General features: G+C 41.2%; 1 protein-coding gene, 1 long non-coding RNA gene and 1 pseudogene across 30 annotated transcripts in view, besides 5 other annotated features; 2 read left to right on the top strand and 1 right to left on the bottom strand.

The window, feature by feature from the left end:
• Positions 1–16,630, bottom strand: part of INPP5F (inositol polyphosphate-5-phosphatase F) — a 103,098-nt gene that overhangs the window by 9,119 nt on the left and 77,349 nt on the right. For 22 of the 29 annotated variants that reach the window (NM_001441001.1, NM_001441011.1, NM_001441009.1 and 19 more), the window contains 6 exons: positions 15,732–15,856; positions 14,568–14,645; positions 13,549–13,669; positions 11,969–12,097; positions 9,812–9,929; positions 8,074–8,272 (listed from right to left, as the gene is read on the bottom strand). In NM_001441001.1, coding sequence (NP_001427930.1) covers positions 8,074–8,272; positions 9,812–9,929; positions 11,969–12,097; positions 13,549–13,669; positions 14,568–14,645; positions 15,732–15,856 — 770 coding nt within the window. Of the gene's footprint in view, positions 1–489; positions 1,815–8,073; positions 8,294–9,811; positions 9,930–11,968; positions 12,162–13,548; positions 13,670–14,567; positions 14,646–15,731; positions 15,857–16,630 lie in introns of those variants that run through there. The other 7 variants (NM_001441023.1, NM_001441022.1, NM_001441000.1 and 4 more) reach the window with 7 other exon arrangements.
• LOC105378513 (uncharacterized) lies at positions 1,772–15,738 on the top strand. The gene is made up of 3 exons (XR_946359.3): positions 1,772–2,105; positions 5,412–5,541; positions 15,332–15,738. It is a non-coding gene; the product is annotated as an uncharacterized LOC105378513 (long non-coding RNA).
• PHACTR2P1 (phosphatase and actin regulator 2 pseudogene 1) lies at positions 3,381–4,811 on the top strand (annotated as a pseudogene).
• Positions 4,270–4,432: a silencer, noted in NCBI's record as "fragment chr10:121575109-121575271 (GRCh37/hg19 assembly coordinates)". NCBI's record gives its function as "represses an EF-1alpha promoter that drives an FKBP-Casp9 reporter gene in an ReSE screen in K562 erythroleukemia cells {active_cell/tissue: K562}" and the evidence as "EXISTENCE:reporter gene assay evidence [ECO:0000049][PMID:32094911]".
• Positions 5,843–6,012: an enhancer, noted in NCBI's record as "experimental_10184 CRE fragment used in MPRA reporter constructs". NCBI's record gives its function as "activates a minimal promoter by MPRAs in K562 erythroleukemia cells, with activity observed for both the introgressed and non-introgressed 10:121573614 variant alleles {active_cell/tissue: K562}" and the evidence as "EXISTENCE:reporter gene assay evidence [ECO:0000049][PMID:34662402]".
• Positions 8,662–8,831: an enhancer, noted in NCBI's record as "experimental_10180 CRE fragment used in MPRA reporter constructs". NCBI's record gives its function as "activates a minimal promoter by MPRAs in K562 erythroleukemia cells, with activity observed for both the introgressed and non-introgressed 10:121570795 variant alleles {active_cell/tissue: K562}" and the evidence as "EXISTENCE:reporter gene assay evidence [ECO:0000049][PMID:34662402]".
• Positions 11,804–11,863: a silencer, noted in NCBI's record as "silent region_2883". NCBI's record gives its function as "represses an Ori minimal core promoter by ATAC-STARR-seq in GM12878 lymphoblastoid cells {active_cell/tissue: GM12878}" and the evidence as "EXISTENCE:reporter gene assay evidence [ECO:0000049][PMID:35858748]".
• Positions 11,884–11,933: a silencer, noted in NCBI's record as "silent region_2882". NCBI's record gives its function as "represses an Ori minimal core promoter by ATAC-STARR-seq in GM12878 lymphoblastoid cells {active_cell/tissue: GM12878}" and the evidence as "EXISTENCE:reporter gene assay evidence [ECO:0000049][PMID:35858748]".

Below are 16,630 nucleotides of genomic sequence, written 5' to 3'. Positions count from 1 at the left end.
TCTGCATTCTTATGCTGGTCTCCAAATTCCACTGTAAGAAAGCCGACATTTCTCCCTTGGGATTTCATACCTATTCCCTAGACCTTATCAAAATGCTACTAATAACAAGCAGAAAATAATAGTGGAAAAAAAATTTATTAAATCTGCGTAAGAATGAGGTCATTGTTTAACAGGTACTGCAGGGAAGGATTTACCATAATCTTAAACTGCAGTTTTTTACATCAGAGACACCTCGTTGTAGCTTGAGTCCAACAGTCTTAATCTAAAACAACAAATTCACCTCAATTTGCACGTACAATAATATATCAAAAAATACAGCAAATGACATAATGAGATGCCAAGACCGGGAACACACAGATCGATTCTAGGAGCCAAAATCTGAGCATTAACCAATTAACCAATGGGAAAAGGAGACCGATCCAGACAGCTTCATAGAGAATAATACCAAATAACACTGTAAAATGTTAAGTTTTACGCGTTGATACTTACGTGCACTCTGAAAATTGTTGCTTGAGCCAAGCCATAAAAATTACGTCATGACACATTTTAATATGAAATAAATTCTACTACTAATTACAGTGTTACTTTCATCCTAGCTCCTATTTTGGCATTAATATTTACATCAGCCAAACATGATCCCCAGTCAAAAACATTATGTCCTTAACAAAAAGCACTTGGCACGTAACAGGCAGTCGGAAAATGTCAACCCTCCCCCCACCCCCAATTTTACTGAAGTCTTAGCTGCAGTAAATATTTAATTCCCTCCCCACCCACCCTTCCCCTTTAAAAAAAAAAAAAAAAAAAAAAAAAGCACGTTCAATACGAACAAGAAACAAGACAAAAACCCTTTAGGTATTTCCCCACCCCCCACGTCTGCAGCTCTGAAGAAGCTGCTCTATTCGTTTTTGTTTTCCCGCCACTGGGGCAAGCCCTCCTTCCACACTATGAAGACGAAAATTGCCAGCACCACATGAAGCCCGACCACTGCAACAATGGTCGCATAAAAGCCGCTGTCTTCAGGGGACATCAACATCAGACTTTGGAAAAGAAGTAATTTGCAGGAAAAATATAACCCCACAGGAACTTTAACCATAAGCCCTGCAAAAAGGAGAAAAATCTTGAAAGTCATAGCCACAACGCCCTCAGACTTGGGCTCGGCTGCTGCGGCAGTGGCAGCCCGCTGCGCGGTAGGCGGAGGCCTGTGAGAGCGCGGCATCGTCAGTCAGTCCGTCCGTCTGTCCGTCCGTCGATGCCTCGAGGCTCAAACAGCTGCCTGCACCCAACCTCGCGCCTGCAGCGAATGCGGCGAATGCGGCAACTGCGACGCGGCAGTGCCAAGTCACGCCCAGGGGACACGTCTAGCTTCCGGACGCCCACTTCCGTCCTCGGCTGGCGGCCAGTGCGCATGCGCGCTCCATCCTGCGCATCCTACGCCTACCAACGAGGGCACAGACCCCGGCCCGGCGGGGGAGGGGCGCCAGGGTGGCCACTCCCGCGAGAGTTCGCTGGCGCCTTCGCCTTCGTCAGGGACAGTGCCTGCGGCTGGAGGGGGGCGCTGGCGGGCCGGGCGAGGGTACTGCACCGAGCGTCTGGCCCCTAGGCCATCGCATGCCTAAGAGACAGTGGCTGCCGCGTGCCTGGCCACTCCATTACCACTGCTGGACCGGGCAGGCGACCTGAGCGCACGGAAGCAAGTCGAAGCAAGTTGGGAACACCACTTGGCTTAGCGGAGAGGCGAGGCGGGCCCTGCAGGTCCGTGGTTTCCTCTCCAGTCTCAGAGCCTCTTTCCCGCTGTCGATAGAGTCGGGGGTTTCCTGCGATAACGGGCGGGAAAGGACAAGAAAGGCAGAGAGGTCGGCCCTGGCCACGATGGAGTCTGTCTAAGGTAGCCCGGACAGAGCTGCGCTCAGCCTTGCATGGGAGAAGGGCCAGGACAGGCACGGGCGTGCTGGACAGTTCCCGGTTTCTAGTTCTCTGTATCCGGCGACCAATGCCCTAGGCCGCGACCCCGCAGCCAGGCCTACTTCCCTGCTGGGACTGCGCATTTCCAGAATGCTTGCCTGTTTTTCCACCAGATATTTAAACGCAGCTGGGACTGCAGTGAGGTGAGTGAGGTACTGGTCTCTGGTACAGATTTTAAAGGGTGTCATTAATTTTGTCAACAAGACAATTGGTGCAATATTTTTTAAAATCAAAATTAATGCAAAAATATGATAAATATGATGGACAAAGCATCAAACATTTAAGATAGAATACATCCCTGTAGTTGCATAATCGTACCTCACTCACTTGACCCTAATCCCAACCCTGTTCCCAACAAAACTTTATTTACAAATCAACAACCCAATTAAAAACTTGGCAAAGCGTTTGAATACATGTTTTTCCAACTAAGACACAGAAATAGCCAACAAGTACAAAAAAAAAATCCTTAACATCGTTTGTCATCAGGGAAATGCAAATCAAAACCACAATGAGATACCACTTCACACTAAGTAGGATGACTGCATTTAGAAAAAAAGGAAAATAAGTGTTGGCAAAGATTGGAGATATTGGAACCCTCCAAACTGGAATGTACTGAAATACATTGCTGGTGGAAACGTAAAACGGCGTGGCCACTGTAGAAAATAGTTTGGCAGTTTCTCAAAAGTTAAACAGGATTATCAGATAATCTGGCCATTTCCACCCAAAAGAACTATTTAATAGAGACAGGTGTTCAAATGAAAACCTGTACACAAATGTTCATAGCAGCACTACTTACAATGGTTAAAATGTGGAAATAACCCAAATGCCCATCAAGAGAAGAATGAACAAAATGTGGTCTATAATGAAATACTATTCAGCTACAAAAAGGAATGAAGTTCTGACACATGCCACAACATGGATTAACCTGGAAAACATTATGCTAACTGAAAGCAGCCAGTCACAAAAGGCCACGTATTATATTATTCCACTTGAATGAAATGTCTAGAATACGCAAATGCAGAGACGAAGTAGATTAGTGGTTGCTTAGGGATGGTAGTGTGGAGGGTAAGGAAGTGACAGCTAAAAAGTACGGGGCTTCTCTTTGTGGTGATGAAAATGTCCTAAAATTGACCATGGTGATGGCTGCACAACTCTGAATATACTACAAACCACTGAATTATATATTTTAAATAGGTGAATTATATGGTATATGAATTATATGTCTCAATAAAACTGTTTAAACACACACACATATTCCAGGAGTGGATGGTTCAGGCAGGCAGTGAGAGCAAGTCCCCAAGTCTGGGAGCTGAGCCTTCCGCTGCCTGGCTCTCCAGAGACCCGCAACCCCACTTCCACTTCCAGGGCCACCTCTTGTCCTCCACCAGGAGCCTCTGTTCTGGGTCAACATCTCCAGCTGAGCTGATGGACTGTACAGAGGTTCTATAGCAAACTCGGCCCAAGAGCAGGTTTCCAAATCTCTCATCAAGAGAAAGGGGAACAGAGCACCACTAGGAAAATCTTTAAGCCTTGCAGTAAGTGGAAGAAAAATATCGGTGGCAAATTCAAAGAAATCTCAGCAGTATTATTAGCAAGAATCACACCCACAAGACAAAGACATGCCTGTACAAAGAGGAGTTAATAAAGAATTCTGTAATCTAGATGGAAACGCAATAGTTACTTTGAAAACTCAAACAGCACATGACATCCGCTGTCCACCAAGAGTAATCCATAATCCACGGAAGAGGAAAATGTAGGAAGAAGGTAACAGTTCTCTATTTGAAAAAGCATCACCTCTAGAAGAAAAGAAAACACTTGAAAACCATTCTGAGAGCCAGCCCCTGCTCCACCTCCTCCAGCTAGCTCCTCCTGTGCCCCAGCCTAAACCCCTAAACCACCTGGCTCTCCAAAAGGGGCTCACAGTGGAGCCAGCCACAGGGACATTAAGTGCCTTCCATTAGAAAAATACCAAGACTCCTGGTAGGCAGGCCTCATCCTGCTACGCAAGCCAACAAGGAAAACATGACCTGAGAAGCTGTTGGCTCCAAAGTATTGGCTTCACTAGCTCCTACATCCACCTCATCCTGTCCCCAACCTTCAAAGGAACAAGTTTCTAGCAAAACGTTAACCACGGGGACCACCAACAGCAAGGAAAATCTAGCAAGCGGCCAACACCTCAACCATTGTGAGATGCAATCAGTCTGGCGTGGTGAGCTTTAGAGGAGATCTTTCCGGAACAGAGTGGAGAGTCTCAAAATTTAGCAGCCATGCCTGTCTCCAAAGAGCAGACCACACACAAATTCCACAAGTCAGTGACCCTTGTGTCCTGTGTTCTACCTCCTCCTCTTGACAATTAACACGTCATTCCCTCAGACACTCCTGCTGTCCTGGTTAGTGATGGAGCTCCCCTGCCCATCTCTGCCTTAGACCCAAGTCAGCTTCTCTGGACTGAAGAGCCAACAGACAGAACCACTCTGCATCAGACACTGGTTTACACATCAGAGAAGACAACATTTTCACAACCAACAATACATCAGGAAAGACAGCACCTCAGCTAATGATTCCTACATTGATGGGAAGATCTTCAGAATCTTTCAGTGTCCCAAAGGATGAAGATCAAAGGGAATCACTGAGCCAGTGACTCTGACGGGTCTATTTTGGATACCAATGACCACAAGGAAGAAGATAAGGATGGCAGTGGAGGCTCTGGCACGTAACACAGGTAAAGAATACTCTCACAATCACTCTTGGCAACTGACCATCTAAGAAAGAATCAGAGGAAAAAACACTGTTTAGCAACATCTGAGCAAGAGAGTCAGGGAATCCGACAACAAATTGGAAAGTAATTGGGAGACTTAGAGGCCCCCAGTGGAAGCTATCCCAAAACAATAAAGAAGTAGAGGGCTGGGCACAGTGGTTCACACCTGTAATCCCAGCACTTTGGGAGGCCGAAGCGGGTGGATCACGAGGTCAGGAGATCGAGACCATCCTGGCTAACAGGGTGAAACGCCATCTCTATTAAAAATACAAAAAATTAGCCGGGCGTGGTGTCAGGTGCCTATAGTCCCAGCTACTCAGGAGGCTGAGGCAGAAGAATGGCGTGAACCCAGGAGGCGGAACTTGCAGTGAGCCGAGATCGCGCCACTGCACTCCAGCCTGGGCGACAGAGCGAGACGCTGTCCAAAAAAAAACAAAAAAAGTAGAAGAAACAAGAAACAAACATACAACTAAAAGGCAAACTCAGCAGAAAGCTCAGCCTGAGACCCACAGTGGGGCAGCTGCAAGCCCTGGACCAGGTTAGCATCTAAAGGCAAAGCAGCAATAAGGATTAAACAAAATGAACTTAAAGGTTTCATTGTCCATCATGCCATGTGAGACTATCTGGGTCATCTTTAGGGGTAGCCCCATGTGCTGAAAACCTGATAACGCACTGAATGCGTGTGTTTCAGCTTCACTTGTCATGAAGGAGAGTGGGCAGCTGCTTTTTGGGGAAGAACTCCTCAGCTGTACAGCCCAAAGGCAGCAATGAGAAACAGGAAGGATGCACTGGCCCTTGCTGTCTAACACGTGTCACTGATGGTAAGTTACGTGTGACTGATGATAAGTTACGTGTGACTCATGGTAAGTTATTCTTCATTGGGAACTTTTATTATTTATTTATTTATTTATTTATTTATTTTGAGATGGAGCCTCACTCTGTCACCTAGGTTGGGGTGCAATGGTGTGATCTCGGCTCACTGCAACCTCCGCCTGCCGGGTTCAAGCAATTCACCTGCCTAGGCCTCCCAAGTAGCTGAGACTACAGGCACGCACCACCATGCCCAGCTAATTTTATTTTTAGTAGAGACGAGGTTTCTCCATGTTGGTCAGGCTGGTCTCGAACTCCTGACCTTGTGATCTGCCCGCCTCAGCCTTCCAAAGTGCTGGGATTACAGGCGTGAGCCACCGTGCCCGGCCCTAGGAACTTTAATTAAAGAAGATGAACAGAAGATACTCACTGGCTCCCTGTTATCGGGAAGTCAAATTCTATAGTGCTGGATTAAAGAAAAATAGGATGCATTTACTGGGCACTGGACAGAGGTGGGAGTCAAAAATCAGGAAAAAAAAAGAGAAGCATTTCATCATGTTAATGAAGAAAAGAAAACTGAAGCACAATGTCATTTCTGAGGCAGATATTTGGTAGCTGAGGACTTAAAAGATTTGAGACTCTAATCACCCAATGGTGACTTTTTTTAAGAGACAGTGTCTCACTACATTGCCCAGGCTGGTCTTGAACTGCTGGCCTCAAGTGACCCTCCAAACTCAGCGTCCCCAAGCACTGGGATTACAGGTGTGAGCTACTGTGCCCAGCCAGTGATTTAAAGACCTAATCCTAGAAGACTATTCTTGTTTCACCATAGTGTTTTTTTGAGTTTTTTTGTTTGTTTTGTTTTGTTTTTTTTGAGACAGGGTCTCACTCTGTCACCCAGGCTGGTGTTCAGTGCTGCAGTCATGGCTCACTGCAGCCTCAAATGCCTGGGCTCTTGAGTTCCTCTCACCTCAGCCTCCCGAGTAGCTGGGATCATAGCTGTGCACCACAATACCAGGCTAATTTTAAAATTTTTTTGTAGAGATGAGGTCTCAAACTCCTGGACTCAAATGATCCTCTTGCCTTGGCCTCCCAAAGTGCTGGGGTTATAGGTGCAAGCCACCACACCATTATTCATTATTTTTATTAATATAATTGCCAGAAATAAGTATGTTTTTATGAATCTTTGCAAGAGGCTTCTAATGACTCTTAAAGCATCCTTACCCAGACTTTGTTGCAAACTTTAAATAGCAAAGCTATATACACTTTACATTTTCTAATACTCTTCACCCCAGGGTACCAATTTTCCATAAAAATTACAGAATTGGAAATCAAATCATCAAGTGTAATGTGACCCTACAAAATCGTAGCCAACACTAGAAATAAACCTTTTGGTTTTTCCCAATTTTGATTATCCCAAAGTAGACACAAAAACACTTGACTGAAGAAAGATGATATTGACAATCATGATATTGATACCCTCTTAAAAATCTAAGTGCAGTTAAAACTCAAGGAAAATGCAGGTGTGCTGCCAGCAGTTATTTCTGAATGGGAAGTAAAAGTACTCTTTTTTTTTTTTTTGGTGCTATATTAAGTTGGATTGCTGCCACTAAAAATACAAGTGAAGGACATGAATCAAAATAGCTTTACCAAATGGCTTAAACAAACACAAAAACCTTCTGCTAGGTTGTGTGTGAGGAAAATTCATCTCTTATTTTTAAAGTCCACATATTATATCCATACATAACAGTATTTACTATCAAAGTGAAAAAAATCCATGAGATTAATATCATGGGATGTTTCCCTATGAATCCACAGTCAACGTTTTTTATTCCTTTTAATACATAAATACTATCTTTAATTGTACTTTCAAGCACATTTTATGCCCCTCTTACTAAAAACACACAAAACGTATGAGATAAAATAGAACTAGAGTGCTTTATTCTTAAAGCTTGGGCTACAATTTCCCAAAATGTCTCTGATTTATAATATTAAAGATTATGATTTTAGATTTCAGCCTAAAGGCAAGCATTCAATCTAGTGGATAAATTTAGATCCCACTATTCATTGATATTTTGAAGAACCACTTGAAACCGGTTTTTGTTAAAAAAAAAAAAAAAGAATATTAGTTGACCTATTTATTTTATAAAAGGCCAGGACCACTTTATAACCAATAAAAATACCCAGCCTCACTACACCTCTTGTTGCACTCACTTATGTGCATTAATACAATAAACCTAGATTCTAGGGCAGGGAGTGGGGAACCCACAGCCAGCTGCAGGCTGTAGTTTGGCAATTTGAATTTTGTTTAATCAAATACTGCACTAAAATATTTTTCTTCATTACCAAGTTTTTAGAACCCCCTTAATTTTGCATCCAAGGCAAGTGCCTCAGTCAGCTTGCCTCACTACCAGCTCATAGAGGAAATAGTCACGCGCCATGCATCCATGCCCACAGCTTTAGGGACAACTGCCAGTGTTAATCATGACAACTTCCCAACATCAGTTAAGCAAGCTGGTCACCTGGACACCACTCCAACTCACCTAGGGTCACAGTCAATGAGGGCCCAGCCCCCATGGAACTTCTCATCATCAGGCAGTAGTAACTTCATGTAACTTTGTAAGAGCTGGCTAATTAGTTCCTGGTGGCTTCTCTGATTTTCCTTATGCAAAGCTTCATGTTCTTTCTCCTTGGTAAATATGGAATAAAGATCTTCTGTCACTGGAATGCCTTGCATCAAATCTAGGGTGGAATTGTTAATATCTATCATCATTTTAGTTTACTAATATATTTTTAAAAAACAAAAGAGAATGTAAGACCTAAAACTGTAAAGCTCTTGGAAGAAAACACAAGCATAAATCTTTGTAACCTTGGATTAGGCATGATTTTTAAGATATGACACTAAAATCATAAGCAATAAAAGAAGAAAAAACAGACAAACTGGACATCATAAAAATTAAAAACTGTGTTTCAAAGGGCACCATCACAAAAGTGAAAAGATAACCCCTAGAACAGGAGAAAATATTTACAATTCATCTATCTGGTATAAATCAATAATAAAAAGATAAGGCAATTGTAAAATGAGCAAAGATCTGAACAGACAAGCTAACTTCCTCTTGGTGGGGCATGCGGCGCAGCCTTAATAAATCATTATAATCCCATTCCCTATGGAGTTATTCCTCCCTATCTCATTGTCTCATGGGACAATGACACTCGAGGAGGCTTCAGCGAAAGAAGACCTGCCAACCACTGGCCCTACACAGGAAAGAGACAAGCACAGATTGCTACTGGCTTCTATCTCTCAACCTTGAAGATCTCTCAGCCAGCTTCAGGATCTGGATGCAGCTGATGCTGTGGATGGCTGAACTGAGAGGACAGAACTGAGGTCCTCAGTGATATAACTGAGTAGCTAGGTCAACGAATGGAAGTAAGATATCTTCTTTTTTCCTTGAATATCAACTGCTAAAATCCAATTCTGTAGTCACAGCATGCACCCTCCATGTCTGGCAAATAAGTCAAACATCTTCACATCAGACTTCTCAAATTCCTAAGTGGCCTGTGTCTAGGCCCTACTAGTCTGATGTGTGCACTAAATCATCAGGTGAAGAAATAAGATTTCAAAAAGACCCTCAGGGACCACAGGTCAGCTATGTTACATTTGGTTCTAATCCAGAACACTCTGCATTTACTTTAATCCTATACAGTAACATCTTCATGAGTATTAAATTTTTAAAATGTCAATGCATACATTCTACTGGGCAATCTATCCTTCCATTTCCTCTTCCAAAAAAATGATGAGTTGGTTAGGGTAATCTCTAAATCTGGTACCCTAATATTCTGATAAACCATGCTTATGGAAAAGGCTGGTATATTTGTCCACAGCAAGAACACAGAACAAATAATATACAGGAAAAATAATCTGGTTACATTGCTCAGCCTTGAGTAATGAGAAAACAAACGGAATATGAAGTTTTTAATTGTTGAGGTTTTAGGGCACCTTATTCCACACTCCAGGAGCTTCAAACCCTGCTTTCTATTACCTGAGTAATAAACTGACAAATATGCATGGAAAATAGATGGTTTCTTTTGTTGCTCCAGCCAAAAATATTTGTCAAATTCTAATCTTGTAAAAATTTGAATTTGATATATTGGGTAAGATGCTCAATACAGAAACACAAGTATATTACAAAATATGAATTATGTTAATGAAGCTGGTTTCTGTAAAATATTAGTCACAGAAGACATAAATTTTGAGGAAAGAAAAGCTTTTCTGCTTCTTACCTATAACAGCTTGCCTATAAGCATCCTTAAATCGGTTGAGGTAATATCTGTTTGCTGAGTTCACTCCATCTTTCATAACTCCTGCTAACTTCCTTTCTCCTGTCCTTGTAAAGTCACCCTGTCAAACAAAAACTGATTTTGACATCTTATTTAAACACAAGAATGCCCCCAAAATAAATTGTGGGCTTTCAGTTCAAGTCTAGAATTCTACAGGCTTTTATAATTTCCAAGGTCTGACTTCTATAATTTTCAAATAGTATAGTTAAATTAAAATATCTACTAGTATTCTACCCTGATCTAAGCTTGTCAAATGCTATTTGTGGCATCAAGTCTTCACAGTTAGATGGTGCTTTAGGGTAAAGCCATTCTTGGCAATTTGTAGAATTTCTAGAATTTACAGGTCAAAACAAATTATATGACAAACACCAAAACAATAAAAATTATTTACATCTCAAACTGGTGTAATATTCAAAAACCGATGTTTCTGACATGGGAAAATGTGGCTAGTTCCCTAGAGTTGATCACAATGGGCTTTTAGCCTGGGTGTGCAGATGAGCAGCTCTACACAGGGAGGAAAAGCAGGAGTTTCCTTACCTTGCTGCACATCACCAGCACCTGTAGAACAACCCAGTGACAACTTAAACTGTTTTGTTTCCCTTGCGCTTTTCACAACAAAGATGTCAGAGCAAGTCCCTAGAGAAGTGGTGACTTAAACTTAAGGCAAGGAAGGTGTAGTCTCTTTTTCCCCATCCCAACCCCTCTATTTCTCTCCAAGGCAATCTCAGAAATCTCAGTCCAAAAACCGACAATTTAGGAAGAACATGCTGCCAATTAGGTCAGTCTCAGGGAATATTAGTAGAGCAACAAGTCTCTATTACAGAAAAAAGGTATAATACTCATCCCGAAGAAGTTTAAAATCAAGGGGCAAAAAAGAGAAGTATTTCTCTTTAATCACTAACTTGAACCAGGCTTTTTTTTTTTTTTTTTTTTTGAGACAGAGTCTCGCTCTGTCGCCCAGGCTGGAGTGCAATGGCACAATCTCGGCTTACTGCAACCTCTGCCTCCCGGGTTCAAGTGATTCTCACACCTCAGCCATCTGAGTGAGTAGCTGGGATTACAGGCGCACGCCACCATGCCCAGCTAATTTTTATATTTTTGTAGAGACAGGGTTTCACCTTGTTGGCCAGGCTGGTCTTGAATGCCTGACCTCAGGTGATCCACCCGCCTCAGCCTCCTAAAGTGCTGGGATTACAGGGTTGAGCCACTGTACCTGGTCTTTACCAGGACTTCCAAAGTTTACTTTCTGTAATTAATAAAAAGCTTTTGATATTTATCACTCAATGCAAAAGAAGGACTGATGCTTGTTAAGTCCTTGATGGTACAATCTGTGTAAGAAGTACCTTGAGATGAACTAGAACCTTGAAGAATGATTAACATAAACCTAATTTAAACAAATTCTAACACTTCCTACTGCCACAGAGGACAACGCCCTCAGACTGAGTAATTTATTTACTAGAGAATATATTTTATATTTAACTTAATATTCTATGAGGACTAGCTCTATAGGATCTTCAAAGGACTTTACTTTTAACAGTAACTAAAACATTTCTTCCGCATTTACGTGTGTCAGAGAATATTCTAAGCCCTTACATGCATTGACTCATATGATCCCATAACAGTCTTTTGAAATAGGTCTAGTATAATTCCTGTGTGACAAATGAGAGTGGTTAAGTGACTTGCCCAAGGTCACAGCTAGTTAAGAAGCAGGGTTGGGATTCAAACTCAAAGATGAAGTATGACACTGGTGGCCAAAACCTGCCAGCAGACATGCTCTGTTTTGTCAGTTTTGAAAACCAACCATTTCATATAAAATTCTGGATTTCCAGAATCCCTTGAAAAACTGGAGGGTCTGGCAACATAGGCCCCTCCAGAGAGAGCACACACTCCTCCTCAGGCCCACACAGCCCCCTCTCCCTCTGATGTAATGTGTGGCCTGCTTGAGTCACATTACCTGGCCCTGCCTTAGCCAACCATTTCAGAAAAGAGTCAACTACACACATCTGCAATCTGGAACCCACACACATTTCTGTGGTTTTAAACCATAGTCTAAGCTGTGTCCTACATAATGACCCACAGATGCTTCCTGCAAGTATTTACCTTCAGAGCAGCTGTCCCAGCATACTGTCTGCTAATGGAGTCACCATTATTGGCCCACATTATCTGGTAGATGCGATTACATTTCACAGGTAATGGCTGTTCCGGGGGCATCACACCTAATTTTTTCAGCTAAAATGAACACATTGGTGGATTAACTGTATATGGGCCAGGAAACCATAGCAAAAAATGTGTACTGCAGAAAAAGGAAACATATTCATATACAATTTAGGACCCTTAAATAAGAGAAATGGTCTTTTCAGACTCATTTTTAATAAAGTAGTGCTTGAAAGATGGCTTTATAAATTGCTACAAGTTGAATAAATATAATGAAATATTTATACTGTTTTGGTACAATTTTTAATGTGCAGGATCATACTATTATATTTTGTCTTTGTTTTAAATTTGCCTATGAAGTGAAACTGAATATCAAAAAAGCACACAGAAACAATACTAATAGTGGCAGAATAGTTAAGTGCCTAGTAAATGTTAACTCTGTGCCAAGGCTAGGGTTCTAAGAGCTTTTTTACACAGTTTTTTCACATTCACTAGTCCTAACACCACTATGTAATTGATACTGTTATCACCTACATTTTACAAATTATGAGACTGAGGTTTGGAAAGGTTAAGTTCTTTGTACAGAGTCAAAACCTTGTATGTGGTAGAGCCAGGGCTTAAACTCAAACCTGGCTGCTTAAACACTGTACATAAGATAAACAGATTCGTGTCCTCAAAGTACAGTCACAAGGTTATTTTATGTATTTTATTTTTTTATTTTTATTTTTATTTTGAAGATAGAGTCTTACTCTATCTCCCAAGCTAGAGTGCAGTGGCACGATCTGGGCTCACTACAACCTCCGCCTCCTGGGTTCAAGTGATTTTCATGCCTTAGCCTCCCGAGTAGCGGGGATTACAGATGACGGCCACCACGCCCAGCTAGTAGGGACGGGATTTTAGTAGACAGGGGGTCTCGCCATTTTGGCCAGGCTGGTCTCAAACTCCTGACCTCAGGTGATCCACCCACCTCAGCCTCCCAAAGTGCTTGGATTATAGGCATGAGCCACTGCGCCCAGCCTACACACCACATTTCTGCTTGGCCTGCTGGATCTGCCAATAGGAGGCACTCAAGGAAGCCCATGAGACAGGAGGAAGAAAAAGACACAGGCTCCTTCACCTGTGTTCCTCCCGTCAGCAGCTCCCTCCCCAACAGCCTGGGCAACAGAGCAAGACTGCATCTCAAAAAAAAAAAAAAGAAATGCAGTATCAAGACTTCCAGCCCCAAACACAGAAGGGTGGGCTTGGAGGTGAGAGGGAAAAGGTAAATGACCACACAATGCCACCCAATGGACTTTAAAATGTTGGCCGTCACATTTTTGAAATGAGTGATTAAGAAAATCTCACTTTATTTAACTGATTTTCAGTGCAGGTTGTGCTTTCCAGATTTTAATGCAACAAGGGTGTTTGTATATTGTAAATGTTGTAAAGAATATTTGACATTTGAAAAATATTTAGCTATTTGCTTACTCATGGAAAAAAAAAGCATTTCGAAATGAATATTTGCAATCCAACAGACTCCAAATTACCTGCTGTTCCATGACCACTCTCGCGATGGCAGCTTGGACCACGTTGGTGCGATCCAGGCAGTCCATACAATTAACACGAAAAATCCCTTCCTGCTTACATATTACCCCAGCTTCATCAACCCTTTTTAAAAATAATACAGAATTATTTTACAATATAAAATAATAGGGTTTTCAAAAGACACAATTCTTTAAAGTATATCAATAAAACAGCAGCACTGGCTGTAATTTGCTTGGTGTATCTTTATATGCTATGCATTATTGAGTCATTTATAGACATCATTGTTAATTTACACAATAACATAGCAAGGAAGATATTATCCTCATCTTAAGGAAAAAAAAAAACTGGGGTGCAGAGAGACTTGCCAAGTCCTATAACTACTAGGCAGAGCTGACATCATCCCAAGTTATGTTTTCCTACATGTAAAAAAACAGAAGGCACTTTAAAACACCGTTGTTCCTTTAAAGTAGAAATGCACCTAAACTCTCCAAAACAGACGAAGTTATTTTACCCCCCAGTGAGGAGGCACACAGCATGGCTTGCTCATCTAATTTCTCTGGCCACCCGTGTAGTCTTAACATCTAATCAAATGTTCTCTTCTGTCCTTTAAGCCAATTTAAACCTCCTGTACTCAGAATCATTTTCCGTCTCTGATAATTTTGAAATGCCTGAAAACTGAGACAAAGTACCTCTAAGACTTCCTTCCTGTGTTAGGAACAGTGAGAAAGAGGAGAAAGAGAAAATGTGGACCGTGGGGCATGAGAAGGAATAAATTCATGTCCTTAAAGAACAGTCAGAGCGTTTCACTTCATTTGGCCTGACCATTTCACACCCTCTCCCTGTTCAAAGCTAACACCACCTGCCTAAGGGTCAGCAACATTCTCTTGAAAAGAATAGGAACTGGGAAGCAAAACGAACAAAAAAAAATGCTGTCTCTGCATGCTGCTATCAGTTTAATGCTCAGTGGTACTATTTTACAGATCCCAGAGTCTGTAAAAAGGAGTTCTTGTAAAATACTTACCAACACCACTTCATATCAAGAATAATGTCATAAATGGCATCTGTTAGTGTCTGAACATTCTCAAACTTCATTCCTCGGCTAAAATCCATGCCAAAAGAAAGAAAAAATCTTTAATTTAATCATAGATTTTTTTAAAACTTAAGATATGCTATTTAATGTAGCTTCGAAAAATTAAAAAGAATTGTTGCTGTACATATATGAGGTTAATACTACTATATATTATATAGGCAATTAGGTAAATGTTTATAGCTAATCTGCATTGTGAAATAAAGCATACTTAAAAACACATTAAAACATACTACAGACATCAGAAGCTTCTTTCCCCACCAAATTTCAATACTTAGGTAAATTAACCTAAGTTAGAACCAGGATTATGGCAAAAGAACCTTGCTGTCAGAATACACACGTTAAAGGCACCATCAAAATGATTCACTGGGCCGGGCACATTGGCTCATGCCTGTAATCCCAGTACTTTGGGAGGCCAAGGTGGGCGGATGACTTGAGGTCAGGAGTTTGAGACCAGCCTGGCCAACATGGTGAAACCCCATCTCTATCAAAAAATACAGAAGTTAGCCGGGCATAGTGGAGCGTGCCGTAGTCCCAGCTACTCGGGAGGCTGAGGCAGGAGAATCCCTTGAAGCCAGAAAGTGGAGGTTGCAGTGAGCCCAGATCACACCACCGCACTCCACTTCAGCCTGGGCGACAGAGTGAGACCTGTCCTTAAAAAAAAAAAAGATGCCCTGATTGTTGTTGTTTTCCTCTAGTGAAGTTTACCCATCGAGAAAGAAGTATCACTACCAGACATGAAGAGGAGCCAGCAAGATACTCTTAAGGAAATTCTATTACTTCTGCTAGGCTCAGACCCAAGCAGAAAGGCAATGCCATCAGTTCTTTAGCTGGTGTGATCAAAGCAAAAAGGGAACTCCACATCTCCAAGATCTTCTGGAACAGAACGACTGTAAATATTTTGGAATCAACTCTAAATTTTAGCCAAAATAATGCCCACATGAAAATTAAAACAAAGTAAATGAATGATACCCTTTTTCTTTCCAACAATGAGAAGAAATTTTTATTCCCAGCAAAGAAGAGAAACTAAGGTCCCTGTGGCAGCATCTACCAAAAACACTGCAATTGATCAACACTATTCTCCGAAAGCCATCTTACCAGTGCTCATGGAAGTCAAACGAAACGTAAGTGAGGTGTGAGTTGTTGAAAAGCAACACTTGCTTCAGGTAAGCATCGCCAATAATCTTCTCTCTTCCTGCCTGGTCTACCAAGTTAATAATAACCTATAAGAGCAAAGAAACAGAAAAAATTTAGTTAGATTTTAGAATCACAATGTGGTTTAAAATTTAATTAGATGTTAGAATCACAGTGTGGTTTTTAATAATTTGGAATTATGTGTTAGAAATATTTTATAGCCATACTTAGAAATTAATCCACTCAAACATCAATTTTTTTCCTATAAAATTTTCATTTGTTACATACATTTAAGTTTGTGAGAATTGACATCAATGACATTAATAGCTTTTCTATATATTTGCAATAACCAATTAGAATGAAATAATGAAAACAAGGTCCTTTGTAACAGCAAATATTTTAGATATCTAGATTTAAAAAGAAATAAAGAAAGCCTAAATACTGAACATGATAAAATGCTGCTGAAGTACATAAAGCATATGATAGAAAACCTGAATTAACAGAAACATATACCATGTTACTAGGCAGCAAGATTCAATATTGTAAAGATTTCAAGTCTCCCCCAATTAATCTATACACTCAACCATCCCAATCAAAATTCAATCAGGATCTGTTAATGAACTTAACAACTCAAAAGTTCATCTGGAAGAGTAAATATGTGGAAAAAATTTGGAAGCTAATAATAAAAAAGGGACTTGTCCCATTGGAAAGCAAAACATACTCTAAATCTGTAGCAATTAAAACTGTCATACTAGCGTAGAAATAGCTAAGTGACTCAACAGAACAGGAATGGTGGCCCAGAAGCAGACCTATGTAAACACTGAAGAATCTAAGCTATGCTCATGATACCACTGTGGGGCAAA

Source organism: Homo sapiens, chromosome 10, assembly GCF_000001405.40.
Source record: "Homo sapiens chromosome 10, GRCh38.p14 Primary Assembly".
In the NCBI taxonomy this organism is placed as follows: Eukaryota; Metazoa; Chordata; class Mammalia; order Primates; family Hominidae; genus Homo; species Homo sapiens.
The sequence above is the reverse complement of the archived record's forward strand: the minus strand, read 5'-3'. Positions and strand labels throughout refer to the sequence as shown.